At 39.1% G+C, this 21,584-nt stretch overlaps 2 long non-coding RNA genes across 3 annotated transcripts in view, besides 1 other annotated feature; one reads left to right on the top strand and one right to left on the bottom strand.

The window, feature by feature from the left end:
- Positions 1-21,584, bottom strand: part of LOC105375760 (uncharacterized) — a 257,327-nt gene that overhangs the window by 145,579 nt on the left and 90,164 nt on the right. For both annotated transcript variants that reach the window (XR_007061183.1, XR_928653.3), the window contains one exon: positions 21,289-21,391. This is a non-coding gene — a long non-coding RNA (uncharacterized LOC105375760). The remainder of the gene's footprint in view (positions 1-21,288; positions 21,392-21,584) is intronic.
- On the top strand, positions 6,369-21,497 carry LOC105375759 (uncharacterized). The gene is made up of 3 exons (NR_188078.1): positions 6,369-6,436; positions 20,053-20,194; positions 20,582-21,497. It is a non-coding gene; the product is annotated as an uncharacterized LOC105375759 (long non-coding RNA).
- Positions 12,948-13,135: a silencer, noted in NCBI's record as "fragment chr8:132150382-132150569 (GRCh37/hg19 assembly coordinates)". NCBI's record gives its function as "represses an EF-1alpha promoter that drives an FKBP-Casp9 reporter gene in an ReSE screen in K562 erythroleukemia cells {active_cell/tissue: K562}" and the evidence as "EXISTENCE:reporter gene assay evidence [ECO:0000049][PMID:32094911]".

Below are 21,584 nucleotides of genomic sequence, written 5' to 3'. Positions count from 1 at the left end.
ATCCTCCAGGAATACTCTATTGAGTCATTCTATTTTCTGTTCACTAAACAGACCTCAACCCTCAGGCTCCATCCTCAGACTCACTACCCTGGATTAATGGAGCTTATTGCTTTGTTTTTTTTGTTTTGTTTTCCCTGCGCCTGTGCTATACAAAGGCTTTGGGTCTGATGCTTCTGCAGGCTTGCCAGTTCAGTATGATCCCCCAAAGCCCAGATGCTGACTGTCAGCAGTACCTTGGATCTATATCTGGTAGCTCACAGGGTAACTCAACCCCACAGGCAGCCCTCTCCCTGGTTCCCAGGACCCAGGGTCAGGGTTTGTTTTAAAAGGAAGTTGAGAAAGTAGTCAAGCAAAAGCAACCTAGAGTCATATCTAAAGAAAAAAGTGGGATCATTAAATGAAGAAAGAGTAGAAAATTATGAGATGAAAAGGCATGAAAGATGTCTTTCAGATGTGGTGCACCATCTGGGTGAATTAATCAGGACTGTTTTAGTTACTACCATTGGTAGAGACCTAACTTAAACCAGCTTGAGCCATAAAAGGAAGGCATTAGCTCATGTAACTTAAAAAGTCCATGGGTATATTGGCTTCATGTTTGGTTGCATACAAATGTACTGATGACGTCCTTGGACATCTTTCTCTCTCCATAGGTTGATTCTGCTTTCTGCTGTGTTTCCTTAAGTTGGTCTTCTGCTTGTGCAAGCAAACTCAAAGCTTCTATCCTACCAGCTTAGCAACCCCAGAGAAGATAGTGCCTGTTTTACAATGATTGCACCAAGATGCTGGATGGTTTCTCAATGGAATGACTTACACCTTATCCCCATCCCTGAGTTAATCACTGTGAACAGGAAGAAGAAATACACCATCATAAAAATTGGGCACTGCTAAAAGGAAAAAAGACAAGCTGTTGGTTGGGTGAAAAACAACCAATGTCCACTCTGATGGATAAGTTAAGCCAGGTGATTCAGGACAAAATGTGTGCTAGAGCCCTGAATCTTGTTATCACTTATAGGTCCCATGCTTGGCCTGTCTTTTATACCCTGGTACATGTGAGAGGAGTCATGGGTGATGGTGAGCCAAAAAAAATAGGTGAAGTGGGAAGGAAAGGAATGTGTTGTGGTTATGTAAGAAACAACTTCAAATAATTTTCAAAGGCAGGAAACTCTTCAACCCAGGTTATTTCAACTTGCCCATGAATTTACCTCATTATAAACTGCTTATCTTTTAAAAGATAGAGTCTCTTTAGGGAATAGTTCCTTACTCTAGCACCCTTAACCTGTAAATGATCCTTTACTGACCACATTCCAAAGCCTTTTCTTGTTCTGTACCTGAGATTAGAGTCCAAGGGTCCCTCTGAACCCCCTGCCACCACTGCTTCCTTCATCTAGGCCCTAGCGGAAACAGATTCTTCAAAGCCCAGGTCAAATTTCTCCTCTCCTATAAGCTCTCTTAAGATCCTCAATTTCAGTTAGTTTCTCCCTCCCCTAAACTCCATAGGATGTTGTTTACTCTCCCACAATAGCATTTATCACAGTCTGCCTTTGAGTTAGAGTTATTTATGTATGTGTCTGTCTTTGCTGATAGACTGTGAGCTCTCAGCAGGCCTGAAATAGCTCCTATTCATCTTTGTATTCCTCTCCCTACTAGTGTCAAGTGCAGCCCTTTGTACTGAGCAGATAATCAACAAATGTTTGCTAGATTGCTGAATCCAATCATGTTAGTTCCTTGCACAATAGTTTTCAAAAGTCCCATGTTAACTATAGCACTGCTTCTAACATTTTAAAATATACACACTATCTTTAATAAATAAGAAGCTCATACCTTCTGTTGAGATTGGACGGGGTCTAACAAATCATCTCTACTCCTCTCTACTTGTGTTTTTAACCAGTTAAAGCATTAAAAAAAGAGTAAGACAGAGATTGAAGGCAGCTTTATTACTGATAAAATTTGAATTGAGAAAGTGGCTAAGGTAGATGGCAATGATATGGAGGAGGGGCAGGGAAGTGCTGGGTAGAGGAGAATGTGGTCCCCGGCTAGGGCTGCACCCCCAGACCTGTGCCCACAGACCTAGGTGAGGATAGGCATTTCTATTTTCCTGCCCAAATCTTGCATTTCCCAAGACCGCCCTGGACTGCCAAGCCCCGATCCTGTGCCTATAAAAACCCCAGAGACACGAGTGGCTGGACATCAAGAGGAACACATCTGCAGAAGAAGACAAAAGCAGCTGGATGTGGAGAGGAATGCCAAGGCATAAGAGCACACCAATAGACACTGGCAGGTTGGCAGGCCATCCACCTGTGGAATGAGGTGGAGTTTGACCAGGGTGGCCAGAGGAGAGCCTGGGCCACTGAGTGGCCCAACTCCAGGGGAAAGACATCTCCCTTCTGGCTCCCCCATCTGCTAAGAGCTACTTCCACTCAGTAAAACCTTGCACTCCTTCTCTAAGCCTGCATGTGATCTGATTCTTCCAGTACACCAAGGCGAGAAACCCTGGGATACCGAAAGCCCCCTGTCCTGGAGATAAGGCAGGGGTATAATTGAGCTAACACAAGCCACCTACAGATGGCTTAACTAAAAGAGCACCCTGTAACACACACCCACAGGGCTTCAGGAGCTGTAAACATTCACCCCTAGACACTGCCATGGGGTCGGAGTCCCACAGCCTGCCCATCTGTATGCTCCCTGCAGAGGTTTGAGCAGCAGGACACCAAAGAAGCGAGCCATACCCCCATCACATGCCCTGTGAGGGGGATAAGGAACTTTTCCCATTTCAGCAAGACAAGGTTTCCTAATTCTGAACACCAACCCAAGGTCTCCCATAGTGGGCACACTCATTTAAAATGCAGAGCAGAGGAAAAACAGAGCAATAATTTGTGTGCTTTGTGAGCAGGACAGCTCTTAAGAAGAAGGCTGAGCTATGCATATGTGCCCTTTCTTACCGCACATTCAAGTTACTCTTTCTTCCATGGGGAAGACTAAGAAGAGGGTAAAGAGATGCCTGAGTGCGGCTAGAATGAAATGTCCCTTTACCTAGGTTTATGTTTTTAACAAACACCTACGTTCATTAGAAATTATTCAGTAAATAGCTTATCGTCATCTACTTCATTCTGGGGCACAGTGATAGAACTTCAGATGTAGTGGTGAACAGCGTAGGCCCAATTGCAGCTTCCTGGGGCCTTAAAATCCAGAGTGGTGAGCGGAAACAAAACGTTCTCGCAAGCATGAGGAGTATCCCTAGGGAGCTGTGGCAGAGATCCAACCAAAAGATCCAGAAACGCCTTACAAAGAAGTAAGATTTTTGTCTGTGACTTGAATGATAATAGGTATTGGATTAAAAAAAAAAGATAGGAAATGTGTTTAGTGGAGAGATGTGAAGGAGGAAAGAGAGAATTAGAGAAGGAAGCTCCAAGCAGAGGGAATAGAATATGCAAAGACCCTGTGGTGAGAAATGACCTGGAGGGTTCCTGAAACTGAAAAGAAGTGAACCCACTCTAGGGAGCAGGGAGTGAGGAGGAGAACGATGGGAAAGGAGACCACAACGGGGAGCGGGAGCCCAATTCTGGCTGTCCTGGTGAACCAGGTTAATGGACTTATATTCTTTACTAAGAGCACTGTTTGGAGCCCAGGAAAGACTGCCAGTCAGATGTTGCCATGCTGGTCCAAAGGAGCCAGTTCAGTTTGCCATTCAAGTTAGTCCATAATTTTGTTTTAAGCTATTGTCTTCTTCATGTCCCTGGAAAGAGATCTCCACTTTACAGAGACTGCTGTACATACATCACCAAACTCTCTCCCTCTACCTCTATGCTTTCCATCTGTTGCTTGGAATGCCCTCTGCCCCCATGTCCACCTCTTCAAAATCTGCTCCTCTGCTAAGTCCATCAGTATCCAACCTCTCACCTGAAATCTTATCAGCTCAAGAGAGTAGCATATGATGCAAAGAACGTGGGCTTCAAACTCTTTAATTCCAGTTCAGTGTCTATTGACTCTCAATGGATTTCTTAATCTCTCTGAGTCCCAGTTGACATCAGTCCAAAAGTGGGATAAGATGATCTGCCACTCAAGGTCATTAGGAGGATTAAATGAAATGACATTTGTAAAAGCACCCAGTACATACGAGGTGCTCAATAATCACCAGGTTCTTATCTCTCTCTTCCTCTGAGCTAAATCCTGTATAACACAGAGTGGAAAATTATGTGCTGCTTTAAAGTATATTTTTTATTATTATTTAAATTTTCAAGTGGCCCTATCACAGCCACTAGTGTAAGCAACCAGAAATAAGAATGGATAAAAAGCTGTTATTGATAGTAGTGGAAGAATATTTATGCTTAGAATCTAGAAGCACCAAATGACCACTCAGGATGAAGCCAATCAAGATTGATGGGGGCAAAACTGGGAAATAAACTAACAGTCATCAGATTATTTTCTGTGGAGTGGACACTCACAGCAATAGATACATTTATAAAATTGAGGTAAAATTTATGTAACGTAAAATTAACGATTTTAAAATGTTCAATTTCAATTGCGGCACTATTCACAATAGCAAAGACTTGGAACCAACCCAAATGTCCAACAATGATAGACTGGATTAAGAAAATGTGGCACATATACACCATGGAATACTATGCAGCCATAAAAAATGATGAGTTCACGTCCTTTGTAGGGACATGGATGAAGCTGGAAACCACCATTCTCAGCAAACTATCGCAAGGACAAAAAACGAAACACCGCATGTTCTCACTCATAGGTGGGAATTGAACAATGAGAACACATGGACACAGGAAGGGGAACATCACACACCGGGGCCTGTTGTGGGGTTGTGGTGGTGGGAGGGATAGCATTAGGAGATACACCTAATGTTAAATGACGAGTTGATGGGTGCAGTACACAAACATGGCACATGTATACATATGTAACTAACCTGCACATTGTGCACATGTACCCTAAAACTGAAAGTATAATAAAATAAAATAAAAAATAAAATAAAATGTTCAATTTCATGATATTTTACGCATTCACAATGTTATGCAGTCATCATCTCTAACTAGTTCCAGAATATTTTTATCACCTCAAAAGGAAACCCTATAACAGCTTCACAGAACTGTTAAGAGGGCTATCATGCCATCCTCTCCCCACCCCTCATCTGTTATGTATAGCAATAAAGCCCATAGAAGTCAGGAAACATAAACGAGATCATACAGCTATTGATATGAAAATTCAAACCCAGGTCTTTGGGCCCATGAGCCATGTTCTGTGCTAATCACAGCAACAGATTATCCAGGATAGTAAAATGTGCTTTCCCCTCCAGTATGATTTTACTTGTCTCAAAATGTAGCCTAATTTGAGATTTAATAATATGGTTTACCCTACTGATGTGGAAGAGAGAAATATGTACCTTGCCGCCTCTTCCTCTGTGCCCAAATCCACAAGGAAGGGTCCGGAAACTCTGGAAATGTCATTTCCAACCCTCTGTCTATCAGTTTACTTTCTCTTCCTCTGTCTCACACTCAATTCTAACTCAATCCTGTTCATCAGGAGAACAACCAGAAAAGTGGTTCTTAAAGTGTCTTAAAGTGGTCCCTGGGCCAGCAGAGTCAACCTCAAAGCTTGCTAGAAATGCATATTCTTAGATTTTACCCCAAACCTAGATCATAAATTGTGTAGTTTGGGCCAGCAAGAGTGTTGTATCAAGCCCTTCAGGGGATGATTGTGATTTACCCTAAAGTTTGACAATCGCTGGTCTACTGTAGAAGAAAGAGGAGTACCCCCCGCACACACCTCTGCAGCTCATTCAGAATCAGAATCAAGGCATGCAGCACACAGTCCCAATAGGGGAGACATGAGATCAGGGTATTCCTCTCACTTCTCACTACAACTATGTGAGCTTTTCCATAACTTCTGTCAAACTTCATTTATGCATCCGTGAAATAAAAGGAATGACATTTATTGAGCTCTTTCAAAAGAGCTTCTCAGCTTATCTTTGCGTTTCTCACATTATATGCCAGTGTTACAAAAATTGTTTAGTCCAGCAGCCAACATCTGAAAACAGATTGTGAGCTTTTGAAAGCTGGTATTATACACACCTAGGAGGTACAATACTAAATCTACAAACTCATGTATACAATATTTCTTTAAAATTTTATATGATTCAATTTAGTCAAAGGAAGAGAGAGGCCAACAAGATCTGAAACAAAAAAGCTGCATTTATTGCTTGCTAAACAAGAAAAAATTGTACTTGCAAGACAGTCACCCCAAACAACACAGGAAAGGAAATTATGTAAGCATTTGGGAAGTGTGCAGTTCCATCATCAAAGTTCTGAAGAGTGTGCATTGTGACATAATGTGTGTTGAAGATCACCTTGTCCTCGCCATTAACTCTCCAGTATCATCTACTGTGCTGTCGTTCTCTCACATGGCCTTTGGTCATTGGTTCAGACAGGTCAGCATCACTGACCATAAGCCTCTTCTATATACTCCTGGGTCAATCTTGAACACCCAAGAATTCTGTTAACCCCCTGCCAGTCCGGGACATGAGAATCTGCAAAACTGACTGACACTGTATCGGCTAAAACTTGTCATCCTACCATCCTGGTGGAGACCTGCAACCTCCTTCAGCCTCTACCCGGGAATCCATCTGGGGCTTGTGTGCCTCACCTGGCTTAGTCCAGGAAGCGTAAGATAAAGTTTCCTTTTACAGGAACTCATCAAGGTCTAACTAAACTCTATTGCTTCCTCTTAAAATTTATTCCCCTCATCAGAGAAATCATTCTTAGAGTAAGAGTGGGAGCAGAAAAGACAGAGTATCCTTACCTAATCATTCAGTTTTCTCTCAAATTTAGTATATGTCTACAGTACTTTCTGCTTCCCAAAGATCCTAATGTTTATGACTCCAAAGCCAAGAAAAGCCCATCTTATTTTTGTTATCTACATTCTCCCTGTCATGTTCCTTCTCTGAGGCAATGAACAGAGAAAGGTAAGGATATCTAGATACAGCTCTACTCCAATAGGGAGAGGAGAAAGGACATAAGGAGAAATGGTAAAATAGACAAAGATCGCTTAATAATTCATTTTTAATTTTTTTATTATAATTTATATGTGTACACAGAAGATGTGTATATTTATGGGGTTCATGAGATGTTTTGATACAGACATGTGATGCGTGATAATCACAGCATGTAAAGTGGGGTATCCATCCCCTCAAGCATTTATCCTTTGTGTAACAAACAATACATTTATACTCTTTGGTTGTTTTTAAATGTACTATAGTCTATAGTGACTATAATCACCCTGTTTTGCTATCAAATACTAAGATCACTTAGTATTTCAAAATTTTTATTCTGCCAAATTTATTCAGTTATATTATTTATTGTTCACTATTCTATGTATATTATTTACTTTTATACTAAAGTAGTTTTCAACATTTTCTGTCCAAGGCCCTTAAAACAGATCTTGATTTTGGCAGTCAAGGCCAGAATTTGTAGTGATTATATTAAAAATCAGCAATTATTTTTCTTGATCTAATAAAGATTGTATTAATAAAATCAGCTCATATGTTATTACAGAAGGCATACTGTACAATATATTTCTATGTGTTATACATGAGTTCATTTATTTATTCATTTGATAAATATTTTGTACACAGAATTCTTTATTACAAGGAAAGTTCTATGACTGGCCCTGAGGCAATAAAGAGAACAAAAAACAGGAAATGCAAAGTCATAGACATCAGAGATTAGAAATGGAGGTAAAACAAGGATTAAAACAACAAATAATATGTAACTGTTGACCTAGCCTCCTTGGGGTTTAGTAATAATAATATGTAACTGTTGACCTACAGTCATTCAGGCTCCAGAATAATAATATGTAACTATTGATCTAGTGTATAGGGAATGTTCAGTTGGAGCACTATTGTCATTCAGAGGAGGAAGATATTACATCAGTCTTAAGGCAAGATCTATTTAAAGAGGTAAACTTTGGATCCTGAAAAACAATGGAAAAAATATGGATATATTAGAGGGTAGGAGAATTTTAGGGGAATATCCTCATGATAGTCCCTTAATATAGTAGATATAGTAGATATTCCTAAACTATATACATAGTACAGTCCTCATGTATATTTCTATTTTGTAACTCTTTTTATAGTCATAACATGCACAAATACATATATTTTTCTTTTAACTTAAAGTATGCCTCTTTCTCATTAGCTTGTAGATGCAGAGAAGGGAAGGATTGGATCAACTTCATTTACCACTGCATCCCCAACAGACAGTGCATAGTAGGCGCTCAGTAAATATGTGTGAACAAAAGAGTGAGGGCATGCATGAATGCCAAACAGACAAAATTTCAGATCAAACAAACATAAATGATAGAGAGAAAGTAGTGATGCTGAAGCTATGTGCATAAAGGTGTTAGTAGTAGGAAGAATAAAGAATTTTGGAGCCACATCATGGCATACAATGAAAAGTTGCAGCCTCTGTATTTTATTCCATAGGCCTTAAGAAGCCACTGATGCTTTGAGAAATGGCATGAGTAGAGGTGTTTGAGAGCTGTGTATGTTAGAAAGATCACCTTGGTTAGAAAGATCACCTTGGCTGCACATAAGACCTTAATGGAATGAGGGCAAGCTGAATGGTGGATGTAGGAGAGCGTTATATTTCCAGGCTTGGGGAGTGGAGTGGTGAGGCAGGTGGGAGGAGGACCCAAAAGACTTCAGAGGGAGAAATTACAGGAACTAGTAACTTATAGAAATTACAGGAACTAGTAACTTATAGAATGGAGGAAGAGTTAGAGATTATTCCAAGGGTTTAGTTTGGCTAACGAGATGGTGGTAGGACCATGCAAATAAATAGGAAACACAGAATCAGAAAATCATCCCTATCATCCTCCTTTCCCAACAAGCCCAATGCCCTTGGTCTGTTGAATAAAATCCAGACAAGTATCATCTTGCATAGAAACTCAGGATACCTTAAACCAGATCTATGTATCCTGATCCCAACCCAGGGATAAGACTCTTTACTACTGCACTTCCATCCATCTTAAGCCTTACCATTCCAAGTATGACTTTTCCTAAAGTAATAGAAAGTATCTTTGTGTATAGGAAAAGCATAATTTTTCCTCTTGGCTTTTTTCTTATTTTGACATACTTTCAAATGTACATGAGTGTCAAGAATAAAAAAAGTCTCATATACCATTCACCTAGATTCTCCCAATGTTAATATTTGCTTTCTCCTTGTCTCTTCTCCTTCTCTTCCCTCCTCCCACATAATTAAATCTATTTTTTTCTGAAATGTTTGAGAATAACTCACAGACATGGTGCTCCCTTACCCTGAAGGAATTCAGCTTGTAGTAGTTAAAGACAATGATAAATGGTACTTACTAATATAATTATATGGCCTTTCCTAAGCTAGTGTCTTTGTTTTCCTTACTCTCCCAGACAATTGTGTCTTTGGAACAAAGACACAAGAAGACTATGCTAAGACAATACTAGAAGTAAGGATTATAAATAGACAGGAAAGCCTTTCTTTCCACCTTTTGGGTTAGATGTCCCATTCGGCATCTCTGCACAGCTTGGTTGAATACTCTTTGGTAGCCCTTATAACATTAGCAACTTTTGTTAATGGAATAATTCTGCATTTACCACAGAGCCTGACACACAGTTTGCAATCAACCAACAATACACACCTATTGAAAGAATGAAGCCAAGTCCTACTCTGCTCTTAACCTTTGAGACACTAAGGGAACTACATGATTGCTTAAGACCAGATAATACTAGCTAAAGCTTGAACCATAAATCCTAACCCAGCATTCTCCCTTTAGCAAAATGACTTAGTCACAACATGGGGCTTTTCCGACTAAAATAAATCCTCCAAAGTCTTTGAGTGAAAATAGACAAAGAAGCAAACTTATTTCTACTTTTCCTCTAGATAAGTAGTTCACCACTATCACGGTACATCAGAATTTCCTGGGATGCTTTTTAAAACACAGATACCTGATATCTGAACCCTGTCACCAGAGATTCTAGAGTTTCTAATTGAATTGTCTTGTTGCGGAGTCTATATCATCCTTTTTTCTGTTGTCATTGCATTGTGCTTTGTTTCGTATTATCAGTTCGTCTTTTAGAATGGTTCTGTGGTGCTGCCACCACTATCTCTCAGCTTTGCTAAATTATTCCATGGTAACAAACAACCTCCAAAACTCTCAGGCTTGCAACAATAGAGGTTTATTTCTCTCCCATAGTATCTGTCCACATGGGTCATATGTGGCTCCTTTCACATTCTCTTCACTGCAGGACTCAGACTCAGACCGACAGAACGTCCCTCTCTGGGACGTCGCTGGTCTCAGGGAAGAGCTACTACATGTTGCCTTATGTGAACGTCCTTTGCACACAATGAAACCTCAATATTAACATTTTTAAAATATCATCATTGCTAGGTATTCAGTCAACTATCAGAAATACTATTACCAGAGGTAGTCATACAAAAGAACTACAGAAGTGGATCTCAAAACACAGATTTTCCTTCCACTGTGCCATCTCAAGGTGATCCATTTTTCTCTTTTCACATCACCATGTCTGTGTGGATATGACAGACTGCATCCCATAGAAAAACTACACACACAAAACAAATCTTCAAAATCCTGGCTCTTTTTTCAACTTCTAATGTTTCAAAACATTTCAAAATTACAAACAGAAGCCCAATATTTATTTAGCAATGATATTTCATCTGCTTCTCTCACTCTGCTTCATACTAAAATTAAAAGCTGATTGCCAAGGTGTCCAGGTATTATGGAGATTGGAAACATAAATAAGGTTAAAGCCTAAGAAAGACAGCATGGCTGAAAGAGAAGGCCAGAGAGAAAAACACAAAATCATGAGGGTGGGAGGCAGGAATATCAGCCCTAAAAAAATTCTTCAGGAAAAGAGATAATTCAAACTTGTAGACATACTTCTTAAATACAGCCAAATTCAAACACGACCCACTTGGAGGTTTTGGCAGTGTTTTTTCTTTCTCTGAGAAAAATGTCTAGATTATCAGAATCTTAATTATCAGAACTATCTAAACATAAGAAGGCAGGGAGACCACAAAAGGCTCTGTTTGATTTTTAATGTCACCAATGACAGCTGGGCGGACCCTAATAGCAATGAATTGTTGACCCCATATATGACACCACTGTCTGGGAACCCATTTCCCCAAATCTGGCCATAATAAACAATTAACAATTATGATGTTAAAAGGCAGTTAATCAATATGCAATACAGACTACAAACATGAACTCCCTTCTGAAGGTCTCCCATTCATGCCACAGTACGGCAAAGCTAAAAGAAAGTTTAAAGATTACCTTGTCCAATCCTTTCATTATATATCTGAGATGTCTCAGATGCGGGGAATAGATGTAATCTTCCCAGCAGGCAGCAGCATACCAGTGGCGGGGGTAGATTTAGAACCCAGACCCCCACTTCTTTTATACTCATTAGGTTTCAGTTAATGCATTGAAACAAACTGAGAAGGGTCAGGAGGTGAGACATGAAGACAATTATGTTAGCTGTATCATGGACTAAAACTTTGTGTGATGAGCACTCAAACTGGCTTAGTAACACTTCTTTGAAATGAACTTAGCCCCTAAAACTGCAGACTTTCCTTGTAGTGGGTGAAAGATGCTCCACTGAAGTAGAGAGAGCAGGTCAGAAAGCTTCCTTTTGCAGATAGACAGATCCCAAAGGAAACCCGGAGTAAGGTAAGCCATTCCTGCTGGGTTCCTTCTTCCAAACCCACCAATAAAATATGGTCAGTCCTCTTCTGGTTGAAGTGGAGATGCAGAGGTATAAAAAAGTTGGGGCAAGAGGCCAGGGACATCATTCTAAAGAAGATCCTTTCATAGAAAACATGAGACCAGGAGAAAGAACTCTCCCTAACATTTCAATTCCCTAACATTTTCATAATTTATAGAAAATTAACATTTTTTAATTATAGAGCTCAGTCATCAACCCAGGATCTTCCAAGGGGTTATATCATAAGGGGTTATAAGCCAACCCCTTATAACAGAAGATCAGCAATCTACCAAATTATTCCTTTCTCCCTTTTCATGAAGTCACTCCTTCAGTATTAACCATTATACCTCGTGGTATCCTTCTGGTAAACTGAATATTTTTCCCCCAGAATGGGTCAGACAGCCCTACAGTATGCCAGATAGATATAAGTTAAATTAACTCCAAGGCCATGCTGTACCTAATACTAGAAATTTATATTTTATTCTACCAAATTATGCCCTGCCACTTTGTCCAAAAAAGCTCATCAGAGGTTCTGTAATGAGATCAAATGACAACCTAAATGGTGCTCCAGCTCTCAAATATTGGAAATGTAGAGATGTTGCAGATGTAAGCCAACATGTCCAGCCTAGAAGGATTCTTGATCCCTTCACTTCTATAACCTGGGCTGTCATACTATAATAAATATCTTTCTGATAGGGTCTCAGATTTGTATAAGTCCAATTCCAAATCTCTCATGAGCTCCCTTTTTTAAAGAATCCAAAGAATTAATAGGGCTAAAAATATTATTTTGGCACTTACTTCATGACCAGAAAATTAGAAAGCATAAAGTCTCAGTCTCCAAATCACTTAACCCAAGTAAAATGTTATTCTGGTACTTAATTGCCCCAGGGAATAGCAGAAACTCAGAAGTATCTGAGAGCATTGCGGATACTCATGACTAGAATGCTGGTCAGTCTATTTAAGCTATGAAGAGTCTATAGACTTGAGCTGAAACTTATTTAGGAGAAATCTACCATCAAGTATTAATGGTGTATTTGCCATACCTGATGGGGGAAAATGTCTCACTAATCTACTTTCCTTTTTTTTTTTTTTTTTGAGGCGGAGTCTCACTCTGTCACCCAGGCTGGAGTGCAGTGGCTTTATGTCGGCTCACTGCAAGCTCCGCATCTTGGGTTCAAGCAATTCTCCCGCCTCAGCCTCCCTCCCGAGTAGCTGGGACTACAGGCACATGCCACCACGCCCAGCTAATTTTTTTGTATTTTTAGTGGAGATGGGGTTTCACTGTGTTAGCCAGGATGATCTCGATCTCCTGACCTCATGATCTGCCCACTTTGGCCTAATCTACTTTCTTAAAGGGCTGCATTTATGAAACTCCTGCCTTTCACAAAAGCAAGGACATACCCATATGTGGAAGCCCCTGTTAATTCAAAACCTCTTAACACTCTTGATCATGTTGAGCTCAACATTCCTGGCACCCAGGACAATGTCAGTACCTCAGCCTTCACATTATCTTTGTGAGCAAGCATGTTCATTTCTGAGATGGTGCTGTTCCTTCTTGCAATGAAATTCCTCGGGTCATAAAAAAAAAATCTGCCTTCTAGACTTCTCCTTATCCAAACATTTGTTTCTGTTAAAGTCACTCAGTATATTCTGGAAGTAAGGCTGCTATTGATGCTTTGGAAATGTTTGTTCCAGGGTCCTGGTGAGGATCACTTCTTCTTCCATGAGCTCCTCAAGACATTGTCTTTATTCCTTTTAAATGATCCTGGTCTTGAATAGAAGTTCTTTCTGCTACATGCTATTTTGCTGCAGTTAACTATGCCTTCAATGTTTCTTTTTCCTCTGTTCTGCTAAGTCTCACAGGAACACTTAACTGAGTTTCTAACTATTCAATCTGCTTCTTTGGCATCTTTCCTTCTCTAACAAATAAGAGTTCTACTATTCGCTGTAATTAAATGCCTTTCTTCTTTTCCTTCCCTGCTTTTTTGGTCAAGATATTTATTTGTCCAGTATTATACTCTTAATTTTATCTTATAGGCTGTTTCCCACAATGCGACATGTAAAATAAATAATTTCTTGGTGTGCCAAAAGCCTCTCCCATTTCAATAAGTCTTGTCCATTATTATTTATTGAGTTGAAGCATGCATCCAGGAGATAATTTTCCATCAGACTACATCTAATGTAGGCTGGACTTAATCATCACTATTTTGCTTAGATTCCCTATGTGTTGTGGTAGACAGAATCCTAAAATAGTCCCTAAGATATCCTACTCTAATCCCTGGGACTGTGAATAGGATAAGCTATCACACTGGGGATTATGCTACATTATATGGCAAAAGGAATTCTGAAGATCTAATTAAAATTATTCATCGGTTGACAGTGAGTTAATCAAAAGGAAGATTGTGCTATCATGTAATTAATCTAATCATTTAACTGTGAAGAGTTATCTCTGGATGGTAGCCTTAGAATCATAAATCCAAAATTAGATTACATGTAAAAGCTGCTAGTTCACCTATAACATCTATGTCACTGTGAAGTCGATCCAGAAGTTCTTTTGCATATGTTCTGATGATTTCTCTTGTCTGTCCAGACTTTCTGGATCACTCACATGTCTCTCCCAGTCTTCAGGGGATTCTTTATATGGTCACCGCTTAGTGAGTGCCAGCACCCTGGCACGTGAATTCCAGTCTAATTTCCAAGATCTTTCCTCTTTATTATATTTCATTGTACAACTGTCATGTTTTCTGATCTAAGAACAACCAAAATATTCTAAGGCCCTCTTTTAGGGCAATTATACCAAGATGCATTACTTTTAATTTTATATCTGCTTATCATAGTCCTTAATATCAATTTTTCCTTTTATATCTGCCTTATTATTTTTCTAAGATGTCAACATTTCTTCTATGGTAATCTGTTTTTTGTTTCTGCTTTAACACTCTCTTCCTATAGTTAATTTCCATTTTTCTATTGCTATTGTCCAGACAATAAGACTAACGCATACTAGTCAATATATTCTAGTTCTTCCTTGATTTTCTACATAATCCCTTTGTGGTAAATATTCGAGGCACAGGCAGCCTTTTGAGTTACCTGATTAACCTCTGGATTTTCAATAATTATCTCTAAGAAAATAATTTATTCTTTTTTACGGTGAAGATCTCTCTTTATTTTGTTTGCTGAAAAAATATACCACCATTCTGTAGACAAAATCATTTCATCTTGGGAAATTAAAGTCATAGTCAGATGCTTCAAAATGAACAAACTCTATGCCAACTTGACACCATGCAGTGGTATGTAACTATCAGGAACCAGCAGACAAGCTCATATTTGTAAGAAATTGGGACCTTCAGGTTCTTCCTTTGGTCTTTAGTGTAGCAAATGGAATTTAGAGCCACAAGTTTAAGGCCGCCTGCCTAGGCCTGACAATAACAGTTTAAAGCAAGAACTTAACACATTAGGGCTCTGCAGTACAAGTGGAACATAGCTAGCTTTATTGTTTTGAAGTCCCAGTTGCAGATCTGACTCTTGGCTGAGGATCTTGGGAAAAGCAGACATTCTGTACCACCCATCAAGACCAAAAGGTTCTAATCTCTGTCTCAACCTTGCCTGAAATACTAAGGCAAGCCACATCTGAATGCTTTAAGGTCCACTTACAACAGCCCAAAATGAAGATCTAAATGGCCATCATATTCCTACGGTGTATGATTATTAAAATTCCACCTTGCTTATATAATAAAACCTACTCATTTGTAGACAAAGCCTCCACAAGGACCAAGTACACAACTGTAAAACCAAAACCAGTCCCATGGTACAACACAGATCACTACAAACTGGTTAAGATCCCCCATGGATACCACAAGCCAAAGCTTTGGGTCCAACGCCATGCTCCTGTGTTGCCAGAAGTCAGGGACCCCGAACAGAGGGACTGGCTGGAGCCATGGCACAGGAAACATAAATTAGGAAGATTTCATGGACATTTATCACTTCCCTAATAATACTCTTATAATTTCTTATACCTGTCTTACTTTAATCTCTTAATCCTATTATCTTCATAAGCTGAGGATGTACGTCACCTCAGGACCCTGTGATGATTGTGTTAACTGTACAAATTGATTGTAAAACATGTGTGTTTGAACAATATGAAATCAGTGCACCTTGAAAATGAACAGAATAACAGCAATTTTAGGGAACAAGGGAAGACAATCATAAGGTCTGACTGCCTAAGGGGTCGGGCAAAAAGAGCCATATTTTTCTGTTTGCAGAGGGCCTATAAACAGCCATGCAAGTAGGAGAGAGATCGCTAAATTCTTTTCCTAGCAAGGAATATAATACGAAAAGAATTGCATTCCTGGGAGGAGGTCTATAAATGGCTACTCTGGGAGTGTCTGTCCTATGCGGTTGAGATAAGGACTGAGATATGCCCTCGTCTCCTGAAGTACCCTCAGACTTACTAGGATTGGGAAACCCCAGTCCTGGTAAATTTGATGTCAGACCGGTTCTCTGCTCTCGAACCCTGTTTTCTGTTAAGATGTTTATCAAGACAATAAGTGCACTGCTAAACATAGACCCTTCTCAGGAGTTTTTGATTTTGCCCTTTGCCTTGTGATCTTTGCTTTGTCCTTTGCCTTGTGGTCTTTACTGGCCTCAGAAGCATGTGATCTTTGTTCTCCTTTTTGCCCTTTGAAGCATGTGATCTTTGTGACCTACTCCCTGTTCGTACACTCCCTCTCCTTTTGAAATCCCTAATAAAAACTTACTAGTTTTGCGGCTCAGGTGGACATCACGGACCTACTGATATGTGATATCACCCCCGGTGGCCCAGCTATAAAATTCCTCTCTTTGTACTCTTTATTTCTCAGATCAGCCGACACTTAGGGAAAATAGAAAGAACCTATGTTGAAATATTGGGGGCAGGTTCCCCCGATACTCCTGACCAACAAATCCTCTATCCTCTACCTTTTATTTTACCCTTAAATATTATTTCTTATCTGTGTTTAAGATTATTTGCTTTCACCAAATGACAGATATTGGTAGTCAATAACTAATACCTCACTCTTTTCTAATTATGGAGCCAACTGATAACTGGATTCAAGATTGGAGAAATGAAAATCAAATATCAGCTTCACTATGATAAAAGCTGTTAATAGTTATTAATATGATTTCCATATAGAGCCAATGGGCTTACTAACACTCTGAATTAAACTTAACTCCAAATCACTGTTTCCCTCTTTGGGCATACAAAGTCAGCCTCCACTAAATTGGTGCATAATGGAGAAAATAGACTAGATGGTTCCTCTTTACAAACAGGAACATCCCAAAAAGAAGAATCAGAATGAACTGAGCAATTCACTAGTCAATTAAATTACTCTTTCTTCTCTGAAGATGGTGGTAAACAAAGAGGCCAAGATGTTGCTGTAATGGGGGACCTTCCGCATAAAAACATAAAGCCAAGGAGGAAAGAGGCTTACCACTGAACAGTTAGAAACCTGGCTCAATTTTGGGTGTTGCTAAAGAAATTAAGTCAATCATATAGATGGAACCATGCTAATTAATTATTAAATGCTACTCTTAATATAAAATCAAAGATATAAAGAATTAAGAAGTTATCCAGTTTAATCACTAATTTATTGATTCATCCATTCATTCCTTTATTCTAGCAAAATTTATTGAAGGCCTACAATATATATGACATTGTTCAATCTCTTCTTTTGAAAATGAAGAAACCAAGGACTAGAGTGGTAAAGCAGTTTGACCAATATCACGCAACAAATTGGAAACAGAGCCTAGAGTGAAACCCATTCTTCCAGGCATCCTGGAATGAGCGGACATTAAAATATGTGGTGTGGGGTGGGTCACATTTGAAATGCTGAACTCAGTTCTACCAGCCTCCAAGAAGTTATTGACAATGACCATGACCTAAAAGGAAAAAACCAGAGTAGCAACAGAAAGTGTGGAAAACATATCATGTGAGAAGTTAAAGAAAGTATGCTGTGGTGGAAAAAATTTGTTCCCCAATGTCAGATGACCTGTTTTCAAGACACAGATTCACTCACGTGGACTTGCCATAACTTTGGTCAGGTCCCCCCATCTTCCCAAGCTTCCATTTCCTCCTCTGTAAAATGAGGGTGATAATAAAGTCACTGCTGTTCTCACAGGATTGTAGTGAGAATTATAGATGATGATGGGCCAGGATGATTTATGTAAAGCTGATGTGAAGTTAGACATTTATTATTATTGTTGTTATTAATATTTTAAAAACAATAGAATTGAGAACATTGAGTCAAGAGACAATAAGATCAAGTTGAGCCATGGATATTTGAGGTACTATCTCTCAAAACAAAGGGAAAAAAAGATGAATAAAACATCTGTTTCTTTGGTACTTTTCTAAATTATTATTACAAACTCACAACTAAATAGTGCTGTGGTTATTGTGATCCTAACTATGCAGATGAGGAAAACGAGGTTTCAGAGAAGCTGTGAAATTTGCCCAAAGCAGCATGGTGAGGAAGTAGAGGAGACAAGGCTTAGATGGACTGGAACTCCATCCTCTCTCCCTGCACCACAGTGCCAATCAATATACCCTAAAACACAGCACAGCTGGGAGAGCAGATCAGAGAGGTGGAGAATGAACTGGGATCAAACTTGAGTTTTCCTGGCTGGCTCAAAGCATAGCTACTTTCCATCATCAAGGCAAAGAGCAGTGTGAGAAGGGTGTAAGCTCTAGAATAAAACTCCTTGGGTTTGCATCTGGGTTCTAGCAATTACTTGCTATATGGTTTTCGGCAAAATAATCTGTCTATGTCTCCCTTTTCTAATCTGAAAAATGGCAATGATAATAGATGATCTTTTCAGGCCATTATTATATGAGAACATGTGAGATAATGCAAGTAGGATGCTTGCAATTGCATGGTATAAATACAAGCATTATGCTGAACTCTTTGCCAGAGGAAATAGAATGCAGTCTTTTGTTCTCAGGTCCAAGATTGGGAGAGAGATTGGGTCAGGTAACATTCAGGTTCCCTTCAAACTTTTAGACCCTAACTACACTTTTCTTTCCCTCTACCCTATTTATTGCCAGCCAAAGGCCTCATGGAAGAGTCCTGTAGCCCAGCAAAGTACTTCACTCAACATTGATTTTGATCATAGCAAAAGGAATTTGGAAAATAACATCAAAGTGCTAGGTACAAAAATTGATTTTTAAAAATAGGTACACTAAAGCCACTTCAGAGAATTTGCTGGCATAGTTCAGATATTTAGGGATTTTTCTGCCTCTTCTTTTAAACTGATCAAACATTTATCACAGTGTCCTAAAAGGCCTAGATTCCAGGAAGTCCATACTGAGGCAATAAAAAAGGTTACAGCCAGACAGCATGCTGTCACATCTTGATGGCAGAGATCAAACTTCTCTCAGGGTATGAGGAGGGGACAAGTCTTAACAGGCAGTTTTAACTGTAGGATAAGAATAAGCAAGGTGGCATCATTTTCCAAGTCCCATTGATACTGGGTGAAAGTGACAGAAAAACCAAACTGTTTCCCTATCCCCCACATAACTCAATGTTAACATGGCTCTAATTGAATTAAGGATAAGTTCCTATTTGAGGTGATACATACTTTTGGTTTATTTTAACTAATTTTTTAAAAATAAAATTTAAAATAATTTTTAAAAATAATTGTAGCAATGGAGGGGTGGGGATGGCCGCTCTTACAAAATATTGATGAGAATGTGAGATACATCCTTTTGGAAGGCAGTATGATAATATACATGCATCCACTCCCACAATGTATTTTGACCCTAAAATCCCATTCCTAAAAAGGTTATTAAGCACGTAAGAAACATCAATGTGTGTGATCAATGCAGCTTTGTATGTGACAGCCAAAAATCAATGGAAAAACAAAGGTTCAGAACTATAAAACCAGTGAAATAAATTATGACATATCAATTAAATGGAATACTAGCTGGTTATCAGACTGAAGATTTAGGAAAAAAGTAATGACAGGAAATCATTATAAGCAATAAAATGAGCAGATTATTAGAGAGTGTGAGCTGTATAAGTGTAATTGTGTGCATTCATTTACATAGAAAAAATAAAACCTAGAAAGATGGATTACTAAAATGTACACAGTGGTTACTTGGAGATAGTGGGATTTGGATAATTTTTATGTTCTTTTTCATCCTTTCATGTATTATCCAAATTATTTCAAATAAATTTCACAACAAATATCAATTCACAACAAGAAATAAAATCAATAACCTATTTTAACAAAGGTTGATCTACTACTACTTTTTATAGGCTAAGAAGACAAATGGAGATTTGCAGAAGAAAATGTCATATGGGTTATCCTGGTAGTCTCCAGAGAATTAACTGAGTCATCCACATTATTTAGCTCCATCTCCATCCTTCATGTGATAGGAAACAGAGTTTTGAAGTCGAGGTAATCATAAAAAGGCCCCAAATCACCTCTGCCACTTATTGACCATGTGATGTTAATTTTGCTGAGCTTTAATTTCCTCATTTGTAAAATAAAGATCGATAGTTCAAAGCTTTATTGTGAGAACTCACTGAGAAGATAATTTTGAAAGCAATTGAACATGGCCTGTTCATAATTGGACCTTAATACATGCAAGATGCATTACTATATCATTCACCTATTTAAACAATGAGTTAAAAACATTAAATGAGATAAGGTCTGAAATGCAATTATGTGATAGAGGACACAGAAAGTGAGCACCCACTGAAGGTTGGCTCTCTCTTCTGCTCTTCTTTGTCTGCACCTGAACTTTATTCCCTTCTCAAGCCTCTGCTCTCACTTTCCTTTCAGGACATAAGGCAGCATCACCAAATGCTCTCCAGGAGAGTTGCTACCTCTGCCAAAGGCAAAAAGGAGATAGGGAAGCTGCCATAGCATCTGTTGGTTCCAGGAAGAAACCACCTTGCCTGTGGCCTGGGGATAGAAGGATGACACCTCATCTAGTTACTTTATGCATGGCAGTTCTGCACTAGCAAAAACTCAGAGGCCAACCCCCAGACTGGAGCCTGAAATGTTGCTACATAAAACCCAGTGTTTCCATGACCGAGCTTGCCAGCTGCAACAACAATATCAGCAGAAAGATCGCTTCTGATCAACTTCTCCTTCCAAATCTCATGTGAGTGCAAATGCTGGCAGAAACTCAATTTAACCAGAACCCTACTTGTAAGGGAGTCTGGGAAATGTAATTTTTAGATTACTAGTTTTACAAATATAAATGTATATGGAAGGAGGTTGGAATGGAGGTTGAGTGCTGATCTGCCATATCCACATCATATCTCCTTTAGACTCTGACACAAGAGGTGGCCTTTCCCTGAACCCTATGTTTTAGAAGATCCTGAATACCACAGATGCAATATGAGTAAATTTATAAAAACACATTTGTGCTCCTATCTCTTGGGAACCTATATTCAACAATGGCACAGCACAACTCATAAACCAAAGCATTAGCTCACAGACATTGTTCGGGCCTCAGAGAAGTGTTTCTCAAGGTCACTTACCATATATTCTTGAAAGGAAAGATGGCCAAGTCCAAATTCCATGTAAGTTTGTGAATGGAGCCACTTCAGACTTTGGGGGTGGACACAACTTTGCACAGAAGACCTGAAAAGTGAAAATATTTGGGAAAGAGAAAAGATAAAATTACTACCTTGTGAATTTTTTCCTCTCATGAATAATTTTTTGGCATTATTAAAGCACCAGATTTCCAGGAATCTCAAACATCCATTTTTCTTGAATCTTTTTATATTACAATTTGTGGTTTGGAAGGTACTCTACTATTCAGAATAATTGCACA

Source organism: Homo sapiens, chromosome 8 (assembly GCF_000001405.40).
Source record: "Homo sapiens chromosome 8, GRCh38.p14 Primary Assembly".
NCBI classification, from domain to species: Eukaryota; Metazoa; Chordata; class Mammalia; order Primates; family Hominidae; genus Homo; species Homo sapiens.
Note: the sequence above shows the minus strand (reverse complement) of the source record. Positions and strands in the feature narration are given on the sequence as shown.